Raw genomic sequence first — 21141 nt, forward strand, 5'->3', positions numbered from 1 at the left:
CTCACCATGTTTCTCCTTTGCTTAAAATCTTTAAATGGTCCCTTACTACCTAAATTCTTTATCATTACCCTTCAAAATTTGATCCCAGATTACCTTGTTGGTGAATTCCACAATCTCCCTGACAGAGCCCAGAAATCCTATAAGCCAGGACAAAAAAGACTGACACTGGAGAACTTCCAGAAGGTACCTCCTAAGAAACCTTAACTGACAGACACTCCAAGAGTAGGTAGTGGAAAGAAAAGAGGGTTGGTGGAATGTTAAGCAAATTAGTAACAGGCAAACAATAAATATTACCTAGTTCAAGGCACAGAGTAAATGGGTAACATTCCATAAATGTTTATTGAACAGAACTGAAGTGGATCCAAAATGGCAGATAATGGATAAAAGGTCATTACAGCTTATGATCCTGTTCCTGGAAAAAATCATAATAATGTACTTTACATATAGCATGTGCTTAATACATTTTTCCTTGAAGTTCTTTTAGACTTTTGAAAATACTTCACATGGTGTATTTAAAATATCTGCAAAGTTTCCTTCATCCTTATTCTTCTTGCCTTCTCTACTGCTCTAGAAAGGTTAAATGTCATCAACATTATAGTACAGATTTTAATGGTCCACACTCACTGTTTTTTGATTTGTGAAATGTTGAAAAATATGAGAAAAAAATTTAAAAATGAAGAATTAACATTAAAATCTGAATTCCCTTAAAAATGGTAAGATGTGTAACTCAGGAATTTCATTTCTGCACAATATTCAATGAGAACAGAGTGGCACTTGCAGCTGCCCAGATCTACTCTCTCACCTCTGTAGGCTTCTCAGTTTGAGTTAAACAGACTTTTATTTGAATCTTGGCTCTGCCAAGGTGGGTATATTATATAAATTCTCTCTACCCCAGTATTTTCAACTATAAAGTAGAGATAATCATAATCACTCATCAATAAGTTTAGTATGAAGAATAAATGAAAAAATCTGCAAAGATTTTGAGCACAGAATAATTACTTTATAAATTTTATTTGTTGAAAAATTATGCTTTTGTTATCAAGTACAGAGTTAAAAAAATAAAAGTAGTGGTAGATTGGGAGAAACAAATATAGACATATCTTGTTTTATTGGGCTTTACTCTATTGGGCTTTACGGTAATTTTGGTTTCTGCAAATTGATGGTTTGTGGGAACTCTGAGTGGAGCAAGGCTATCAACACAATTTTTCCAATAACATATGCTCACTTCATGTCTCTGTGTCACATTTGGGTAGTTCTCACAATATTTCCAACTATTTCGTTGTTATCGTATCTGTTATGGTGATCTGTGATCAGTCATCTTTGATGTTTTGGGGGTGCCACAATTCACATCCATATAAGATGGAGAACTTAATCAATAATGTTATATGTGTTCTGACTGCTCAATTCACTGGCCATTCCCCCATCTCTCTCCCTTTCTTCCAGCCTCCCTATTCTTTCATACACAACAATATTGAAATTAGGCCAATTAGTAACCCTACAATGGCTTCTAAGTATTCAAGTGAAAGGTAGAGCCAAATGTCTCTCGCTTTAAATCAAAAGCTAGAAATGATTCAGCTTAGTGGAGGAAGAAGGCATGCCAAAAGTCAAAACAGGATGAAAGCTAAGCCTCTTGCCCTAAACAATTAGCCAAGTTGTCAATGCAAAGGAAAAGTTCTTGAAGGAAACTAAAAATGCTACTCCAATAAACATATAAATGATAAGAAAGAGAAACATCCTTACTGCAGATATTGAGTGGTCAGGATAGATCAAAACAGCCACAAAATTCCCCAAAGCTCTCTTCACTTGTATGAAGGCTGAGAGAGGTGAGGAAGCTGCAGAAGAAAAACTGGAAACCAGCAGAAGTTAGTTCATGAGGTTTAAGGCAAGAAGCCATCTCTATAACATGAAAGTGTAAAATGAAGCAGCAAGTGCTGATATAGAAGCTGCAGCCAGTGATCCAGAAGATCTAGCTAAGATCATTGATGAAGGTGGCTACCCTAAACAACAGATTTTTTAATTAGATACAACAGCTTTATATTAGAATAAGATGCCAAATATAACTTCCATAGCTAGACAGAAGTCAATGCCTGGCTTCAAAACTTCAAATGATAGGCTGACTCTCCTGTTAGAGGCTAATGCAGCTGGTAACAAGTTGAAGCCAAGACTTATTTACCATTGCAAAAGTCCTAAGGACCTCAAGAATCATGCTAAATCTACTCTGCCTGTGCTCTATAAATGCAACAACAAAGCCTGAATGATAGCACATCTGTTTACAGCACAGTTTACTGAATATTTTAAGCCCACTATTGTGACTTACTGCTCAGAAAAAAGGATTCCTTTCAAAATATTTCTGCTCATTTACAAGGTTCCTGTAACCCAAGAGCTCTGATGGAGATGTTAATGGAAATTAATGTTGTTTTTATGCCTGCTAACACAACAACCATTCTGCAGCCCATGGATCAAGGAGTAATTCAACTTTCAGCTCTTATTATTTTTAAAAAGTATATTTTATGACTTATAGATTACATAGATAATAATTTATATGAAGGAGTTAGGCAAAGTAAATTGAAAACCTTCTGCAAATGAAGATTTTCCTTTTTATTCTAGTGCCATTAAGAACATTCAGGATTCATGAGAGGAGGTCAAAGTTTCAACATTAATAGAAGTTTGGAAGAAGTTGATTCCAACCCTCATGGATGAATTTGAGGGGTTCAAGGCTTTAGTCATTAATATGGCTTGGCTGTGTAGCCACCCAAATCTCATCTTGAATTGTAGTTCTCATAATCCCCATGTGTCATGGGAAGGATGCGGCGGGAGCTAATTGAATCACAGGGATGGTTACCTCCATGCTGCTGTTCTTGTGATAAGTCAATGAGTTCTCACAAGATTTGATGGTTTTAAAAGGGGCTTTTCCCCCTTTTGCTTGGCACTTCTCCTTGCTGCCACCATGTGAAGAGGGACATGTTTGCTTCCCCATCTGCCATGATTGTAAGTTTCCTGAGGCCTCCCCAGCCAGGTGGAACTGTGAGTCAATTAAACCTCTTTCCTTTAGAAACTACCCAGTCTTGACTATGTCATTAATACAGTAAACTGGTACCGGGAGTGCTGCTATGAAGATGCTCGAAAATGTGGAAGCAGCTTTGGAACTGGGTAACAGGCAGAGGTTGGAACAATTTGGAGGGCTCAGAAGAAGACAGGAAAATGTAAGAAAGTTTGGAACTTCCTAGAGACTTGGAGGGCTCAGAAGACAGAAAGACGTGGGAAAGTTTGGAACTTCCTTGAGATTTGTTGAATGGCTTTGACCAAAATGCTGATACTGATACAGACAATAAGGTCCAGGCTGAGGTGGTCTCAGATGGTGATGAGGAACTTGTTGAGAACTGGAGCAAAGGTAACTCTTGTTATGCTTCAGCAAAGAGACTGGCAGCATTTTGCCCCTGCCCTAGAGATCCGTGAAACTTTGAACTTGAGAGAGATGACTTAGGGTATCTGGCAGAAGAAATTTCTAAGTGGCAAAGCATTCAAGAGGAAGCAGAGCATAAAAGTTTGGAAAATTTGCAGCCTGATGATGCAATAGCAAAGGAAAACCCATTTTCTGAAGAGAAATTCAAGCCAGCTACAGAAATTTGCATAAGAAACAAAGAGCCAATGTTAATCACCCAAGAATCCTGGTTCCATATTTGTCTCCATCCATATTCTATTTTATATTGGCATTAGATAAGTTAGTATCAACTTAGAATATTTAAAAAGTAACAATAATATTACCTACATTGAACAGCACACTTAACTAATTTTTTTCTATGTTTGGCAAAATTGACTGCAATTTTAAAAGTTTTGTTACGTGAGCAATCTAAATAAATAAGCCAAGATAGTATGAACATAGTTCTATTCCTTAGATAATAAAATAAAACATAGAAATAATAAAAATAACTTTTAAAATAATATAATTTGTCTATGTCCAAAGAGTGGTTCAATAATGTATAGCTTTTTAAATATATATTCTTTATCTTTATTCCACAAAGCAAAATTATAACATTTGCTTGAAAACGCAATGTTGTATTTTTCTGCCTACAAGTGGAAAAACAATGGAAATTATTGCTATGCTATTTAACAATATTTTACACTGCTCTTAATTATGTGTCATGAACTCTTATTTTCACATAGACCATGTGACTATTGCTATGCTATTTACCAATATTTTACACTGCTCTTACTTATGCATCATGAACCTTTTAATATGCATGTAACCTCTTTTCACCTAGACCATGGGAGTATAAAGAGCAGTTACCAGAAGACCTTGGCTGGGTTCCTGGTTCTGAGAGTCATTTGGGGAAAATCACTTAATCTCTTTCAATTTCATTTTCTTCATCATAAAATAGAGCTCACCATAAATGTTACAACATTGTTATAAGAACTAAAGGACATATTATATGAGAAAGTGATTCACAACCTGCAATGTATTACACACATTAGCAATTATTTTCTTTGTTATTCTTAATAAATTATTTTCCCAATTATTTCCAGTAAATTTTACCTCCAAGCTATGCTTTTTAACTCTAATTCTGCTATAAGTGTGTTTAATATATTCTCTTAAAGTTTTATTTATAGATAATGCATATAACTACCATAGGCATAATGCACTTTTGAAAATAAAGCAAACAAAATAGTTAAGCCAACTGTTCAATATAGGCAATATTACTGTTACTTTTTAAATATTCAAAGTTGATTCTAATGATCTAATGCCAATATAAAATACAATATGGATGGAGATAAATATGGAACCAGGATTCTTTTATAGGATCCAAGATCAAGGTTAGGCCACATTTGTTTAACATTCATTAGCTCTCATAGACCATTGAAAAATGTATAAAAACACATCTTCACCTTTCCAGATTTTGATTCTTGAAGCAGTGGCAGCCAATATCAGCATGGGCAGAAATTAATCATAGGAGATTAGAGACTCTGTCTTATTCTGTGTGTGTGTGTGTTTGTGTATGCATGCGTGCACACCATTCTTCACAACTAGGAAGTGACCCACAGGTAACTTAAGGATAATGTGTCAGAAACTATTATCTTCTAACCAATGACCCTTCCACAGTGTGATCATCAAGAGATGTTACCTGATAAAGATTGGAGCCAGCTCAAGGTTACGTAGTCTGTTATCATTGTAGCATGTCCCTTGGGATAATGGAAGGCATGTGGCTTAGTTGACTGGGTTGAGTGCATGAAAAGGAAGGAAGAGGCACCATACACATCTTGAAAAAGGGAGAAGCTTACACAATTTTCAACAGGGTCACAAACGAAGATGAAGAGTGAGCACTGCATCAACCTGATGCCTAGGCCAGCAGAAATACAACACACTTCATGATTCAAAAACAGCCCGTGTGTTCCTGCTTCCTTTTATCCTGGATTTATAGGGCATCTAAAGAAACTTAATGATATCTGAATAGCTCCCTCACAATCCACATGTTCTGGCAGGGGGAAGGTAGAAAGGAATGGACTATGCTGGGCAGAGAGCAAAGCATGGGAAAGGTTTAAATGTTCTCTGGTGTTGGGAGTGCCCCTCCAGCTGTTTCATCTGAGACAAAGGGGCCTGGAGAGACACTTGTTTAATGGCTGGTGCTTCCATTTGTGCACAGAAATCAATTGCTTTTCTCCTAGTCTTCACTCAAAACTTCTCATTCAAAATAACTAAAAGTTGGTTGCCCCTGTTTTTTTTTTTCTTTCCATCATCTCGCTACTGTGACTGAAATGTATGATTTAAGTATGGTATTAACTAGGGAAGGAATTCTAATGGTGAGGAGTCAGGAGTGAAGACATGGTTAGTTCATAGCCACATAATCTTCCCCCAGATAATTTATGTATGTATGTTTGTAGTTCCACAAATATTTACTGAGCGCCTACTAAATGCCAAGCTCTGTTTGAGGCCCAATGGACCCATCAGAGAAGACAAAGACTCTTCCCTCATGGAGCTCATATTTCAGCGAAGGAGACAGAAGATTAACATATATATATATACACATATACACGTGTGTGTGTGTGTGTGTGTGTGTGTGGTGATAGGTGCTATGAAAAAAAAACTGAGCATGGTACAGAAACAGAAAAAGAAAAAGGTTGAAGGGGCAATTTAGATCTGGAAGGGCAGGGATGGCATCTCTGATAAAATGACATTTGTGCCAGGACTTAAATGAAGTGATAAAATCAACCATGTTAATATCTATGGGAGGAACGTTCCAGGAAAATGGGTTAGCAAGGGCAAAGTTCTGCAATGGCAGTGAGTTTGCCGTTCTAAGAAACTATAAGACAGCTAGTGTGTGTGAAGAGGAATGAGAGAGAAGGAGCACAGTAGAGAACAAATTTGGAGAAGAAACCAGATCAAGAAGGACAGTAAAGGTTGTAATAAAGAATGTTTATTTGATCTAATTATATATTAGGAAAAGTTTTAAGGACTTTGAGCTATTGTGCAAAGAACTGACTGTAGGAAGTCAATATGGAATTTCACAGAAGGACCAGTTTGGAAGCTCTGAATCCTTTAGTTGAGAAAAGATGGTAACTTAGACTATGGTGGCAAAGCAGAAAAAACAGAAAAAATAATTCCAATTCTGGATATATCTTGGGATATGCTCAAAAGAAGTGTATGAGAAAGACAGAAATCAAGGAGAACTCACAAATGGACAATAGGTGAATAGTGATTCTTCTCACTGAGATGGGGACAACGTGAAGGAGTGTAGTTAGAGGAGGAAAATCAGTGATTCTGTGTTGAACATATTAAGTTAGATGTCTACTATACAACCAAGCAGAAATGCCAATTAGGCAAGTGGATATATTGATCTGAGTTCAGGGGAGATCAGCACTGGAGATAGAAATTTGGGATTCATTAATATTTAGATATTACTAAGAATTATGAGAGTGAATAGCAACATTAAAAGAAAATGATTCTATGTTTTCAATGAATATTCATTTGAAATGAATGTAGAAATCCAGTAGAAATGGTTTTTCGATTTTATAGAAACTACAACTCAGGATGTATGAGTATTGAAGATGAATGCTGGAAATAATACTGGTGTGAATCACAAATACTACACAGCCTCTGACTAACCCGCTATCAAAATATGAGGGCCCTCAGATAGAAACAAAGGGAGTGCTTATCTCTGACTAAAACACTAAGTCAGGTAAGAATAGAAAATGAGGAGCTGAACTTCCACTTAACCTCAGGGCAAAAGCAGCTGAAGGTGGCTACTGTGATTATTGTGATGGTGGTTCTGTATTGTACCCTCATATTGCAATTTGTGAAGGCAAACTGCTTTATAATTGACTTCAGTAATCCATCACAACCTACTCCATTTATGTGTCTTTTGGTCTTTTTTATTATCCTCATCATGGGTTTCAATGTGTAAGCCACTTTGATTCCCCTTAGAACATAAATCATAAATATAAATGCTTTATAATAAGAAAGTTGTGTCCATTAATAGGGAAATGGTACTGGTTTAACTTTATCAGTGAAGAGTAGAGGCCTAGGGAAATTCATTCTCCCATATTATTTAACAACGAAACAATGAAAGTGTGGAATGTTCAGATTCCAACAGGTCAGTGTCAAGGCTGGGATACTGCCTCCATCAACTCTATGTTTCTCATATCCCAAGTCATAGCCACCCATAACATGCAGCAAACAATAGCTTCTCTGAATCACATGTGCCTCTGGCTCTGTTTTGTCATTTAGGTAATGTGCTTGTTAATTTTGCACTATTTGACTGGGTTACAGGGTACCCAGATAGAGGGTAAAAAACATTATTTCTGGATATGTCTCCAGAAAAGATTATTATTTGAATCAATAAACTGAGTAAAGAAGGTTCACCCTCACTAATGAGGGCTGGCATCATCCAAGCCATTGAGGGCCTGAATAGAACAAAAGGCAGAGTAAGGGCAAATTCTCTCTCTCCTCTGAGGCCAAGACTTCATCTTCTCCTGCCAATGGACATAGAAGCTCTTGTTTCTTAGGGCTTTGGACTCTGGGCCTTATACCAGTGACACATTCTCACCATCACTATCACCCCCCACCCCAGATTCTCAGGACTCAGACTGAATGACATCACTGGCTTCCCTGGTTCTCTGACTTGCAGACAGCCAATGGTGAGAATTCTTGGCCTCTATAATTGTATGAGCCAGTTCTCATAATAAATATATATTGGTTCTCTTTTTGGTTCTGTTTCTCTAGAGGACCCTTAACCAATACAAGTCGACTGCCTTAACCTCACTCCTCTGTCACAAACATATTGTGTTCTCAGGAAACATCCCCTCCCTAGAAAGTTACACTGTGGATCCCAGGTGAGTCTCTTTTCACTCCCTGCCATCACGCCCTTACCTAGGACATCATCCAAGCCTTGGGCCTGTATGAGTCCTGGAGTTCTGCTTCCTGGAAGATGTTCAGATTTTAAAATCACAGGGCAATTACTTTTTGTAAAGATGATGGAGATTTTATAACATAATAAGATCAAAACATTAAAATTACAATTCACTCAAAAATGAATTCCTTCAGCATTCAGAAATGTTAGCCTGAAATTCACAAGGACAATGATGTTATTAATCTCTTTCACTGCTCCATGATCAGCATCTGGCAGTGTGTCCAGCACATTGTAGGCCATCAACTAAATGGACACTGTGGCATCACAGAGGCAGGGGATAGTGGTTGAAAGTACAGACGCTGGAGTCAGATCACCTGGGACAAACTGTATCTCTGCCCCTCGCTTGCTGTGTGGTTTTGGAAGCTTGCCTAACCACTCTATAAACCAGTGTCCTGACCTGTAGGAACACATAGTTCCTATGTCAGAAGATTTTTATGAGATTCAATAAGCCACTACACAAATAAAAGAATGTGGTAAACCCTCAATGTGTTTTTGATGTTAATGATGAATTACTTAAGAATTTAGAATGTTATGTGTGGAATAAGTTAAAATCCTAGCCTCTCCATGTAGTCCATCATTAAAATTAGTACTTTAATAATTAATAAATCGATCATTATTAACATTTTTAAATCAATAAATTGCCATTTATTCTACAGTGTGCTCTTCTAGCTTTGGTCTTTGTCAATGAATTTAGTGAATCTCCCGACCCTGATTTCCTCTGGCAAACTTGAATATCTGGAAATGTGGAAACCTTAACAGCAAACAGTGAACTGTAATGATAACATGATATCCCTCTCTGAGATATGTGCAAAGCTTCAGGCAGCTGTTTCTGTGTCTTTCCTGTTTCTCTCCTATAAATTCCATGACCTTTATAGGTGTGTTGAAATTAGAAAAGTTAGAAGTATTGTTGGTAAGTTCACTGCTCCCAACTTTCAAAGAGAAAGTTATCATCTGTTATCAAGGTTTACTATTTGCTATTCACATTTCCATGTTCCAAGATACTCAAGTTTGCCAGAGAAAATCGGGGTCAAGAGATTCACTAAATTTATTGATATAGACCAAAGCTAGAAGAGTTTGCTGTAGAATAAATGACAGTTTATTAATTTATAAAATTGTGAATAATGACCAAATTATTAATTTCTAATAAACAAAATAAAAACTACCCAGTAGACAAAATAATTGTGATCAGTTATGTTTTCAAAATTAGAAAAAATCTACATAAAAAGCAAGTTATAGTAAGAAAATTTTTGTTTCTTTTTTTCTTTTCTGTTTTCTTTAGGGATGGCTTGGAAACAGAGCATATTGGTTACTTTGATTAATGGCTGATGATATTAAAACAGCATAGCCTGATACATCCCTCACAACTGCAAAGATAAACCTGAATAATAGTTTTAGTTGCAAACACACATATCCCCCTGGCTTCCATACTTATATACTGGAGAAACGTGGACAATATCTTACTCTTTCTGGCCTTTTGTTTTTATTTATTTGGAGGGAAAGGAAGATGGATTTAGTTTATAAGACCATCTGAGTGACTTATGACAGTGATTGTATATAACTTTTCTAGTTACTTACATTCTCATAATGCCTTCTTCCTATTTCATCCAAATGACTTTGATTGAACTTTGACTTCCCAAATCTCCTCTGCTTATCTGTTAAAAAACAATAATAAGTAGGTCCGAATCTATTTATTTTTTTTTCAATTTTCCTTCAAACTTGGAGGCGGGGTAGGGCGAGATCTTACTTTTATCCCCGTGTAGTGAACACCAGATATTTCCAGAAAGCTTATAATCTAAAATTTAGTTCCCAGCCACTTCGAAAGTAAGTACATTTATTACATCTATTCTATTTTGCGTATTTGGGGTCGTACATGGGCCTCATTCATTGTTTAAATGGTGATGCAAGTTCTTTGTACTGAGTTAACAAGGGTCATGATTACGGAATACAGAGATTTTAGCAGAGATGTATTTCAACACATCTTTTCTTCAGCATTTTCTATCAGTAATGAAGAGATAGATGCTGTCCATTTAGAAGCATAGAACTAAAATGTTTTCCAAGAAACATCTCCAAAATGGTAAAGTTCAAATAGGTGAGATGTCATCCTTGGCTACGTGCTAACTCCACTTTCCAGTAAAGGGCAAATGTCTCACACAATTAACAAAGATTCCATCAAGCCCATAAAACGCCAGCCACTTTCAAATTGCCAGGAGATCTTTGGATTCTCTTCTGATTTTTTTTCCATTTAATTTTCTTCAGACATCCTAATACTATGGTGGAAAAGACAAATTAGTCTAATGCAGGATACTATAAAATGTTCAATTACTTCAAAAAGATATGGCCATTTCCCAAAGGAAGGAATTTAATCAAAACTAGATCAAAATGGGAAAATGGATGACAGAATATATAAATATTCTAACATATTTGAAGTTAAAGAAGACTTTACAAAAAGGCTTTAAAAATGAATATATCAGAGTAGATGTACAAACACTTAGAAGCATACAGTTTGTCCATCACCTAGTGGGATTTTAATGTTCAGATTTTACCGTCTAATATGACAGAATCTCTCAGACTTCAGTTTTATGTAAGGATGAATTTAATATTTAGAATATTTCCCATTAGTGGAAATTTTGTAAGTATCACAGCTTTTCAAAAATCTCCTTATAGTTCAACATATGAATCTGTAATAATTTTAAATTGTCTTTTTTCTAAACAAAAATTATTATGAAACAAAAACATTACAGAGGTCCAAGTTATTTTACATGGCCTTTCTTTTAAATATTATTTTTAAAACCATTCGCTGAGATCTCTGTTTAACCACCAAATCTAGAATAATTGTAGAGACTTAAATAAGGAAAATGTTCACATATCCAAAAACAGTATGAATTTTACTGTTATTTCTCAATTGTGTTTCTGTGTATTCTTTAGACATCTGTTATGTTTCAAAGATCAGACATATCCTTAGTGTGCAAATCCATGTAAATATCCTCATCCTATAAGATTGCCTACTTACCAAAAATAACAACAATAAATATGTTATTAAGTTGTTCATTAATCTTGAGACCTCCTATGGCATACATTTTTTTAAAAAGCCAAGAATTATTAACTGAATGTCAAAGGCCAGAAAGAGCAATGGGGGATGTTTCCAGTTTCAGGTATCAATGAGAATCAAAATGAAATGTAAACAGTATCAGATATTGTAACTCATTACCTATGTAACAATTTGGGAATAAACCACACTTTTCAGATATCAACTCTACAGAAAAGCAGTGTGAGGTAGGTTTTGATGTGGCACCCCTGCTTTTGATGACAGGTCTGTCTCAGAGCCATGTTATATGGGGTTGGGCCAGTTACTTAACCCATAATACAGTGCATGGTAAGAGCTGAACTTCATAATGATTATTCCAAATTACAATAAAAGTAAACATGTTTTAACATTCTACCTGTGAGGGCAGGAGAAAAGAAAATTAGTGCTTTTAATAAGTAAGGAACATTTTAAATCACTGAGAATAATATTATCAAATATTGGAAAAACAGACAAAAGAAAAGGAATGAACTAGTTTAAAAAGAAGTACAAAGAACTAAAAGTCTTCACTTTTACCAGTGACCAAACATGTTTATATTTATTGTACCATATTGATATAGAATATTATTCAGTTATTAAAATAATAGCAGGAGAAGTTTTTAATCACAGCATAAATTTTTTGACACATTGAATAAAAGAAGAGAATGTCAAATTATCTATGAAATGAGATCTCAGTTTTAGAGGAAAATTTATATCTGTACTGATATACAGTAAAACATCATCAAGAATGTTTATCTCTGAATTGTGGAATTATGTATGATTTTCATTTATTTTATACCTTTAGTATGTCCCAAGTTTTCTACAATGAGCATTTAGTACTTCCATGATCACACAAAGAAATTTTTCAATGCCAAGAAATGTAAAAACTTCTAGACTCGGTTCTACCATCAATAAGCTAAGTGACCTATGGGACGTCGCTTCATCTTACAGAGTCTCAGCTTTCTTATCCGTAAAATGAGAAAATTGAACTAGATCACCTCCTAAGGTCACTTTCACTTCTATAATTTTATGAATCAATAATGTACTATTAACACTATTATATCCAAAGAAAACAAAGACTAATTGAAGCAATTGTAGCAACAAAAGTTATGACATATGGATTAAGCCTAGTAGGTATTTTTTTAAAACTACAAATGACTGGCCATTATTCTCTATGAATTAATATCTTATCCTGTTTATGATACTAAATTCTCAAAACCATTTCAAAGATAATATTCAATATTTCTTTAATAATAGCCCTGTAAGTTTTGCAGGACACAGTCACCCAAGCTGAGTGATGCTGAATAAGGCCAGAGCTGGGGTCACAGTCCTTTCCTGGTCCCTAACCACCCACAGGTCTTTTCTCACTCTGTGAGTCTCTCCTGAGCTGTCCTTGTCCCTTATTCTAATTCCATCAGGTGTGTGTTGCAGTTTTATTGAGCCATTTTCAGAGCCAATTAATCAGAAAACACTGTTTTTCCATGATTTGGGGGATTCCTCTAGTAATGACTTTGCAGCCATAATCAAGAAATATGTTAAGCCTTATGTCAATTAACTTAACTGATGTGAAAACTTGACTGGTCCAGGGAGCAATGGATTTCCCCAGCTGCACCTTATCAGAGAACAGCTTAGTGTGAAGGAGAGAAGTTATGCTGAAGCCAGAGCTGTAAACGTGCCAGGAAAATTAGCACAAGCTCCAAGTACAGAGGGTGAAGAAGAAAACTTGCTTAGCCCATGTATGGGTGTTGCTTAAACAGTTATGAATTATTTTAAAATCTTTCATTGATGGGATGAATAGTCGCATACATTTTTGCCACATGTAAGTTTCTCCAAAGAATTGGGCCCACAAGAGAAATGGAGGAGGGGGGCCTACATGCAAGCAGATGAGGGGCATTTGCTTCCCCAAAAATATTCTTATATTTTTTATAATGTGCCTCATTAAAATATGAAACACTCAATTCAAAGCAAAAATTGAAATAGGATACTCCTGACTCTTCCCTTTCTTCCCTCTATTTCCTCATGATATAGTCTTAGCACTTCTTTTAAATGTTACAATAGTGCTTCACAAACAATTTTTTTTGCCAGTCCGTCACAATGAATGTTTTTGAAAAATATAATAAAAACAAATTATCACAAAAGTGAAATAAGAAGATGAAAAAACTAAGCACACTTTGTGGTTATTATATTCAACAGTCATGAAAATCACACCACAATTTGCCATGAAAGTTTCTTAACATTTAACTCTGTACAAGTATCGTTGCAGAACAATAAGGCCACAACACGTACACAAGCACTTTGTCTTAGCACCATATCAACAATTACCTGTAAAGCTTTATCTTGGCATTTTCCACTATGCAACTGTTGGTTTACACAGCCCCATTAGACTGGGAGTTCTGTAATGGGTAAGCCAGCAGTTAACACTTGGAGGCACTCAGTAAGTATTTATTGAATGAATAAGTCAATGAATAAGTGAAGCACAAAAGAGCATAAGCCTTTCTGCTCTTAACACCTACAGGCACTCTTCTTACATCAGGAAAGCTCCCATGCTCTCCTGATTCCTTTGCCCCAGATTCCAAGGGTACAGATGCTTTTCTCACCTTTGGTGGTAACTGCCACCTGCTTGTCCCAAAGAGCTTCTTTGTTTCCCTGTCTTCCCACAAAGGTGATAACAAAGATTTTTTTTACAGTTTAAGAGTATCAGTGCCAATCACTTTTCAGACAAAACAAGATAAAATGCAATAAATAAACACGGAGGAAGTTATAAAAATTTCAACATAAAGCGCAGATCTATCGTCTTGTTTTCTGCTATTCAGAGCACTAAAGACACTGGGTTTTGTGTCTTTATCTGTGGGTTTCTCTAGTTTATCCATTTGATTTACTGAGTTTGTGTGAAAATATTGATTAAATCTTTTCTTAGAACCAGTTGAGAACCATTTGCTACTTTCCCCAGCTCTGATATTAACTTCTAATTTAAAAAAAAAAAGAAGTGTGCAAGTATATTCGTTTTCTATTGCAGCTGTAACAAGGAACCATAAACTTAATGGTTTAAAACAACAAAAATTTATTGTCTCACGACTTCTGTAGGTCAGAAGTCTAACACAGTCTCACTGAGCTGAAATTACAGTGTTAGCAGGGCTGCATTCTTTTCCAGAGGTTCTAGGAGAAATTTCATTTCATTAATATTCAGGTCATTGAAAGAATTCAGTTCTTTGAGGTTGTGTCACTGAGTCCTCATTTCCTTGCTATCAACTGAGGGCTGTTCCAAGCTTCTAGTGGCCACCAGGTCTCTCTGCTTGAGTCTTCCTCCATCCTGAAATCCAGCAACAGCTAGTGGAGATCTTCTCATGATGAATCTCTCTGACCCAAGCTGGGAAAGCGTCTCTGCTTTTAAGAGCTCCTGTGACTGAACACAGTCCATCTGTATAATCCAGAATAATTTCCCCATCTCAAGATCTGTAACCTTTTTCATATCTGTGAAGTTCCTTTAGCTATGTCATGTAACAGGTTCGCAGGTTATAGGGACTAGGGGATGGACGTATTTGGGGACCTCACCCTGCCTATCTCAACAACAAATTTATAAATTTATTCTAGGGTAAAAAAGAAAATTATAAATGTATGTTTTTAACTTTACATCATCCTTGGATAAGGTCCTAATCTTATATGAGCACTCAGGACAAGGCTCTAAGAGATTTTATGGTGGAGTCACACTGTGTGCATCGTCATACTGGGAAAGGACTTTGTACTTTGTTTATTTTGTTCATCTGGTCCTTTGGATTGTCCCCCACATGCTCTTTCAATCCCAGTGCACCCTCCAGATTTCTGTCATTGTCAACTTATGCCCCAATTCTCTGCATAAAATTCTAAAATTGTAGATCAAAAATCCACACTATAATATTAAATCCCATTTATTTTGTTTGGCAAATCTGATTCTTCATAATTTGATCTCACCCTATTTTATAACCCCATTTCCCACTATTTCCCCTTCATTTCCTATAATACACCAAAATACTTGCAAAATTCTGTGCCACTTATGCTTATCTTTGCACATGCTCTTCTTTCTGCTTGGATGGAACTTCCTTTCTGCTTGGATGAAATTTCTCTTTGGGGACATGTGATATAATTGAAATAGCATCAGCTTGGAAACCATTTTGATTTGTATTTGACCTAGTCACTCTGACACTTACTAGGCCTGAGACTTTCAGAAGCTCCTTTGCCTGTGGTGCAAAATGGGATTATTAAAACCTACTTTGTAAGAATATTTTGAGGCTTTGAAATAATACACATGAAAGCGTATAACACAACGTCTGTCATATGATGGACATTTACTAAATGTTAGTTATTCTTTTGCCCTAGAGAACCTCATTTTTCCTCCAGGCTTAAGTTCACCACTTCTGTCACATTGCCCAGACCCATCAGGTAGAGTAAGATTCTCAACCTTGAGTCTTCCATAACTGTGTATATTTAGCACTATCACATTTTAGTGGGCAATGTCTATACCCACCTGTGTCCTCTAATACCTTATAAACTTCTTGAGTGAAAGAATGTCTTGTTTATCATTTTAGCCATAGCACCTGGCAAAGGTACAAATTAGTCATTCAAAAGTCTGGAGGAAGAGATGGATGGATGGATGGATGGATGGATGGATGGATGGATGGATGGATGGATATGAGATAAATGTAGAATCTAGCATAATAACTAACAAATAATACATATGCTTCATTTACTTTAAATATACCAGTTGTGTAAGTATATCATTCTGGCTGTGTTGTTTTGTCTTTTTATCTCTTTGGCTGCCTTGTTCACTGAATAACTGTATGTTTACATTTTTATTCCTATAGTTATGTTAAATTCCTAAAAGGTTGTGTCTTTCATTTCTTTGCTACCTTCACTCAAGCAAAACATTTGCATTCTATACATTGTGACCCTTCGGTGCAGTTCAACAGAGTAATCTGTTTTTAACTTTGCACCATTCTTGGATAAGGTCCCAATCTTATATGAGCACTCAGGACAAGGCTCTAAGAGATTTTATGGTGGAATCACACCATAAAATCTACCTAAAAAACTAATATTTAGGGTTTCTGGATAGAGCAAGAGCTGCTTCTTAGAAAGCAAAATGATCACACAGGAAAGTTTCACCAGCCAACCTAAATACAGTAAGAAATACTGTAGACTTTGTAGTGTCAAAACCACCTGTGTTTGCTCATTGGCCTTATGCAAAGTTAAAGTTAAATTTTTGGAATCTTCTTGAAAAGAGGTAGTTTTACAACTTGGAGCAAGGCACCTAATGACGTTAGGCTCCTATCCTCCCATAGAAACTGGGAGATAGGGGCACTATCCTTCTTGATTATTACATTTCAGAGAATGGTCTCTGGGTCCTTAAGAAAGACATTCCTTAGTTGTAAAACTGGCAAGAGGCCTTTAAAAAGATTTACTTCCCCAAAGGACAGAGAAATGATTTACAAATACAGGTTTTGTAAAGTAAATGCTTAAAGAAAAGGGGTGTTAGGAGCCTAGAGTCAAGAAGCCTGCCTGTCTTAAAGTTTAGTCAACCAGAGGGGAATGCTAAGGTCCTCTTGGTGAGGAGGAACCTAAGTGTATATTTCTGGATCAGAAAGGATGGGTTCCTGAGATGTCCCTTGAAAAATAGGGTAGTTACAGGAGAGGAAATTATTTAAAGGAATCAGTTTATCATAGTGCAGCTCAGCAGGTCTATTCATTAGCAAATTGCACTGAACTAGCCCGTGGCTGTAGTAGAGTAGGTATACCTCCAAATCCTTATGTATTAAGGAAATTTACATTAAAAGACAGAGATTTAGGCCAGGCACCATGGCTCACCCCTATAATCCTAACACTTTAGGAGGCTAAGGCAGGAGGATTGCTTGAGCCCAGGAGTTGGAGACCAACCTGGGTAACATAGTGAGACCCCATCTCAATAAATAAATAAATAAATAAATAAATAAATAAATAAATACCTGTAGTCCCAACTGTGTGGGAAGTTGAGATGATGGGAGGAACTCTTGGTCCTGGGAAATTGAGGCTGCAGTGAGCTGTGGTTGCACTGCTGCACTCTAGCCTGGGTGACAGAGCAAGACTCTGTCTCAAGCAATCAACCAACCAAACAAAAACCCAGAGATCTCAATCTGGTTTCATACAATATATATGTACAAGTGTCTGTATTTCAGAAAGTATTACTGCTTTAGAAAATGCCTAGCTTTACTTTTTATTTCACATTTTACTAACAATTAAAAGGCAGTGGAGGTTACAACCCCACATCATGGCCCGTGCTATCCCTTCCTTACAATTCTGTCAGAAGGGGGTGACTTAGAAAGAAAAGCTTACATATTGCTCTTGGTGGAGCACTGTGATTAATCTCAGACATTCTCCAGAATAATTTTAAAATCATAATATTTTAGATATGTTTCTTCCTTTACCCTTCACATTTATCCAAAGCTCTTGGTTCTGCAATTCCCTAAAACATACTTTAGGCATTAAGTAAAAAGTGAGAAGTAACGAGAGTAACATTATTCGCTTCTCTTCTTCCTAGGGTATCTTATTTTCTTCAAGCTTTCTTTCTTCCTTCTTACTCCTATCCCATCTTTGTTATTTCCTCTATTCTGAACATGATCAAACTTTCTGGTTATCAAAATGTATATGTGGGTATGTGTGTGTGTGTGTGTGTGTATACATGCCTGCATGTTTGGGGAGTGTAAGCATTTACAATAAGCAGCTAATTTCACAGGATGACAGTCCCACAATTATCTGGTTATTATTTGTAACCAGGTAACTTGGCTAGACTTGTGGGTAGGTCAGCAGAGCTCATAGGCACACTTCTATGCTCATTATACAAAGATGGTTAAACAAAGAATGTATATCTAAGTATGCATCCAATGTAGGAAGAAATGAATTCTGCTTGTGAAATGAATGAATTCTATTTTTGAAATACATCGTATTTATGAAATTATGCTTGTGAAATGAATCTGACATATATACAGAAAATATTTCAAATGCCTCATAGACTACACATCAACAAAAGGAACAAAAGAAATCCAAATTTTGTATTATTCTTCCCTCTCTTTCTTGTCCTCTTGGCTCTTCATGCTTGTGTTCAGGCATAATTTTTAAACACTTTTCTTAAGCCAGTTTTCACTGAAGAGGTCAGGTGAGGTTAGGTTCTTTACGGTAAGTCACACTTTATCAGTGTGAAATTCTGTTGTACTTGTCATTTCTCAGTTAATTAAGCCAGATATCTCCTTAGAGATCTTTTTCATATGAAATTGGAAACTGGCTTCATGTTAGTGATTGTACCAAAATGGGCTTTAAAATGTAAAAGTCTCTAATCCTCTTTTAGAAGGGCAAGTGTTTCATGTCACCTTGTCTGCAGAGCAAAATCTCTTTCTGAATGAAAGATGCAGCTTTGCAAAACTGCACACTATGATTATAAATCAACCAGTACAATAACAGTACTGCAGACAAAACCTCCTAAGATAATCTCTTTAGCATAAAATTGTATTCAGCAAGATGAAAATCCTAACAAGATTGTGATTTCTGTCGGTTTAGCTTTTTACGCATGCCATTTACACTAAGATTCTTTTTTCATACTCATATTACCAGTTCACCTGGAGAAAAATGGCTTATTATATAATCAGGGTTCATATGCATGGACCACAATGGGCATGAAGCATATGAGGATTTATATCAAGAGTCAAAATTCTTAACAGATTGGCAGTTGCTCAAAGAAAGGAAATAAAAGTGATTAGATGGCCACGATTGCTCCTGAATTCAGAATAAAGGAACTGAGGTGCACAGCTGGACTACATCACACCAGGAAAGAATGAGGAGTCTCTGAAGAGTGTGACTTCAGAGGAGAAGCTGGAATTGTTTATTGTTGCCCCAGGGAGGTGTAATTGGGGTTAATGGGATAAAATTAAGCACAGAAAAATTCATGATGTCTATCAGGAAATACTCCCTAATAAAGAGGTCTTTTATAAAATTGTCCCAATGGAAGGATTAGAAGTCCTTTTGTTTGAGTGATTCAAACTTTACGTGGGGAAATATATGGAAAAATAGGCTGCAAAAGACAATCTCATACAAGTCCTCAAGGGATGAATTACGTAGAACAATCAGATCTTTCTTGGCTTTAATTTTCATGAGTCTATTTTAGTAAGCTCCTTAAAGACTCAATTTTCAAAGCGCTTGTTGAATCCCTTCTGCATTGCACCTGCATTAGTAGCAGGTTCCAAAGAACTGAGTTTGCAATTGTGTACTATGACGATTGAGACTCTTACCTGAGAACCTGGAAACCTGAAGTCATTTGCAATGACTTCAGCTGGTATTTATGGATGTAAACATAGTTTATGTAAAACTCAGTATAGTAAATAAAGTTCTGAAGAATGCTAACAGCAAACTGAACTAATTGGTACACTGAATTCCTTGTCTTATTTGAGTTCATCACATCCTTTAATTAATTAAATTAGACTTTATTGAGAATCTTCTATCTGCTGGTCGTTGAGTAAATGCTGGGGTTAACATGAAATGTTAACATTTTCATGTTAACCCCATAAAAAAGCAGGCAAACGACATGAACACTTTTTTTTCCATATGATTGTTGGCCACATGAAAAGACGTATATGTGGCCAACAATTATGTGGAAAACAAGTTCAACATCACTTATCATTAGAGGAATGCAAATCAAAGCTACAATGAGATACCATCTCACACCAGTCAGAATGGCTATTACTAAAAGTTCAAAAAATAACAGATGCTGGAGCGGCTGTGGAGAAAAAAGAAGGCTTATACACTTGGTGGGAGTGCAAATTAATTCAATCATTGTGGAAGACAGTGTGGCGATTCCTCAAAGACCTAAAGACAGAAATACTATTCAATCCAGCAAGCCCATTACTGAGTATACACCCAAAGGAATATAAATCATTCTATCAGAAACACACATATACACATATGTTCATTGCAACACTAGTCACAATAGCAAAGACATGGAATCAACCTAAATGCCCATCAATGATAGAGTGGAGAAAGAAAATGTGGTACATTCACTGTAATAGTTAAGATTCTCCAGAGGGACAGAACTAATAGGATATATGTATAAATGAAAGGGAATTTATTAGGGAGAATTGGCTCACAGGATCACAAGGCGAAATCCCATGATAGGCTGTCTGCAAGCTGGGGAAGAAAGAAGCCAGTAGTGGCTCAGTCCAGGTCCAAAAACCTCAAAAGCAGGGAAGCCAACAGTGCGGCCTTCGGACTGTAGCTGAAGGCCTGAGAGCCCCACGCAAAGCACTTGAGTCCAAAGGCTGAAGAACCTGGAGTCTGATGTCCAAAGGCAGGAGGAACAGAAGGAGACATCCAATATGGGAGAAAGATGAAAGCCAAAGGACTCAGCAAGCCAGCTTATCCCACCTTCTTCCACCAGCTTTGTTCTAGCCATACTGGCAGCTGATTGAATGGTGCCCAACCACGTTGAGGGTGGGTCTTCCTCTCCCAGTCCATGGACTCAAATGTCAATCTTGTCTGGCAACACCCTCATAGACATACCCAGAAACAACACTTTACCAACTATCTAGGCATCCTTCAGTCCAATCAAGTTGACATCTAATATTAACCATCACATGTACCATGGAATACTATGCAGCCATAAAAAAGAATGAGATTATGTCCTCTGCA

At 36.5% G+C, this 21141-nt stretch overlaps 1 protein-coding gene across 9 annotated transcripts in view, besides 2 other annotated features; it reads left to right on the plus strand.

The window, feature by feature from the left end:
• The window catches only part of NKAIN2 (sodium/potassium transporting ATPase interacting 2), a 1021776-nt gene that overhangs the window by 930554 nt on the left and 70081 nt on the right, over positions 1–21141 (plus strand). The gene's annotated exons all lie outside the window — the stretch shown is intronic.
• Positions 7072–7272: a silencer, noted in NCBI's record as "peak6095 fragment used in MPRA reporter construct". NCBI's record gives its function as "represses an SCP1 promoter by STARR-seq MPRAs in K562 erythroleukemia cells {active_cell/tissue: K562}" and the evidence as "EXISTENCE:reporter gene assay evidence [ECO:0000049][PMID:32103011]".
• Positions 12992–13192: a silencer, noted in NCBI's record as "peak6096 fragment used in MPRA reporter construct". NCBI's record gives its function as "represses an SCP1 promoter by STARR-seq MPRAs in K562 erythroleukemia cells {active_cell/tissue: K562}" and the evidence as "EXISTENCE:reporter gene assay evidence [ECO:0000049][PMID:32103011]".

This window comes from Homo sapiens, chromosome 6 (assembly GCF_000001405.40).
Source record: "Homo sapiens chromosome 6, GRCh38.p14 Primary Assembly".
NCBI lineage: Eukaryota > Metazoa > Chordata > Mammalia > Primates > Hominidae > Homo > Homo sapiens.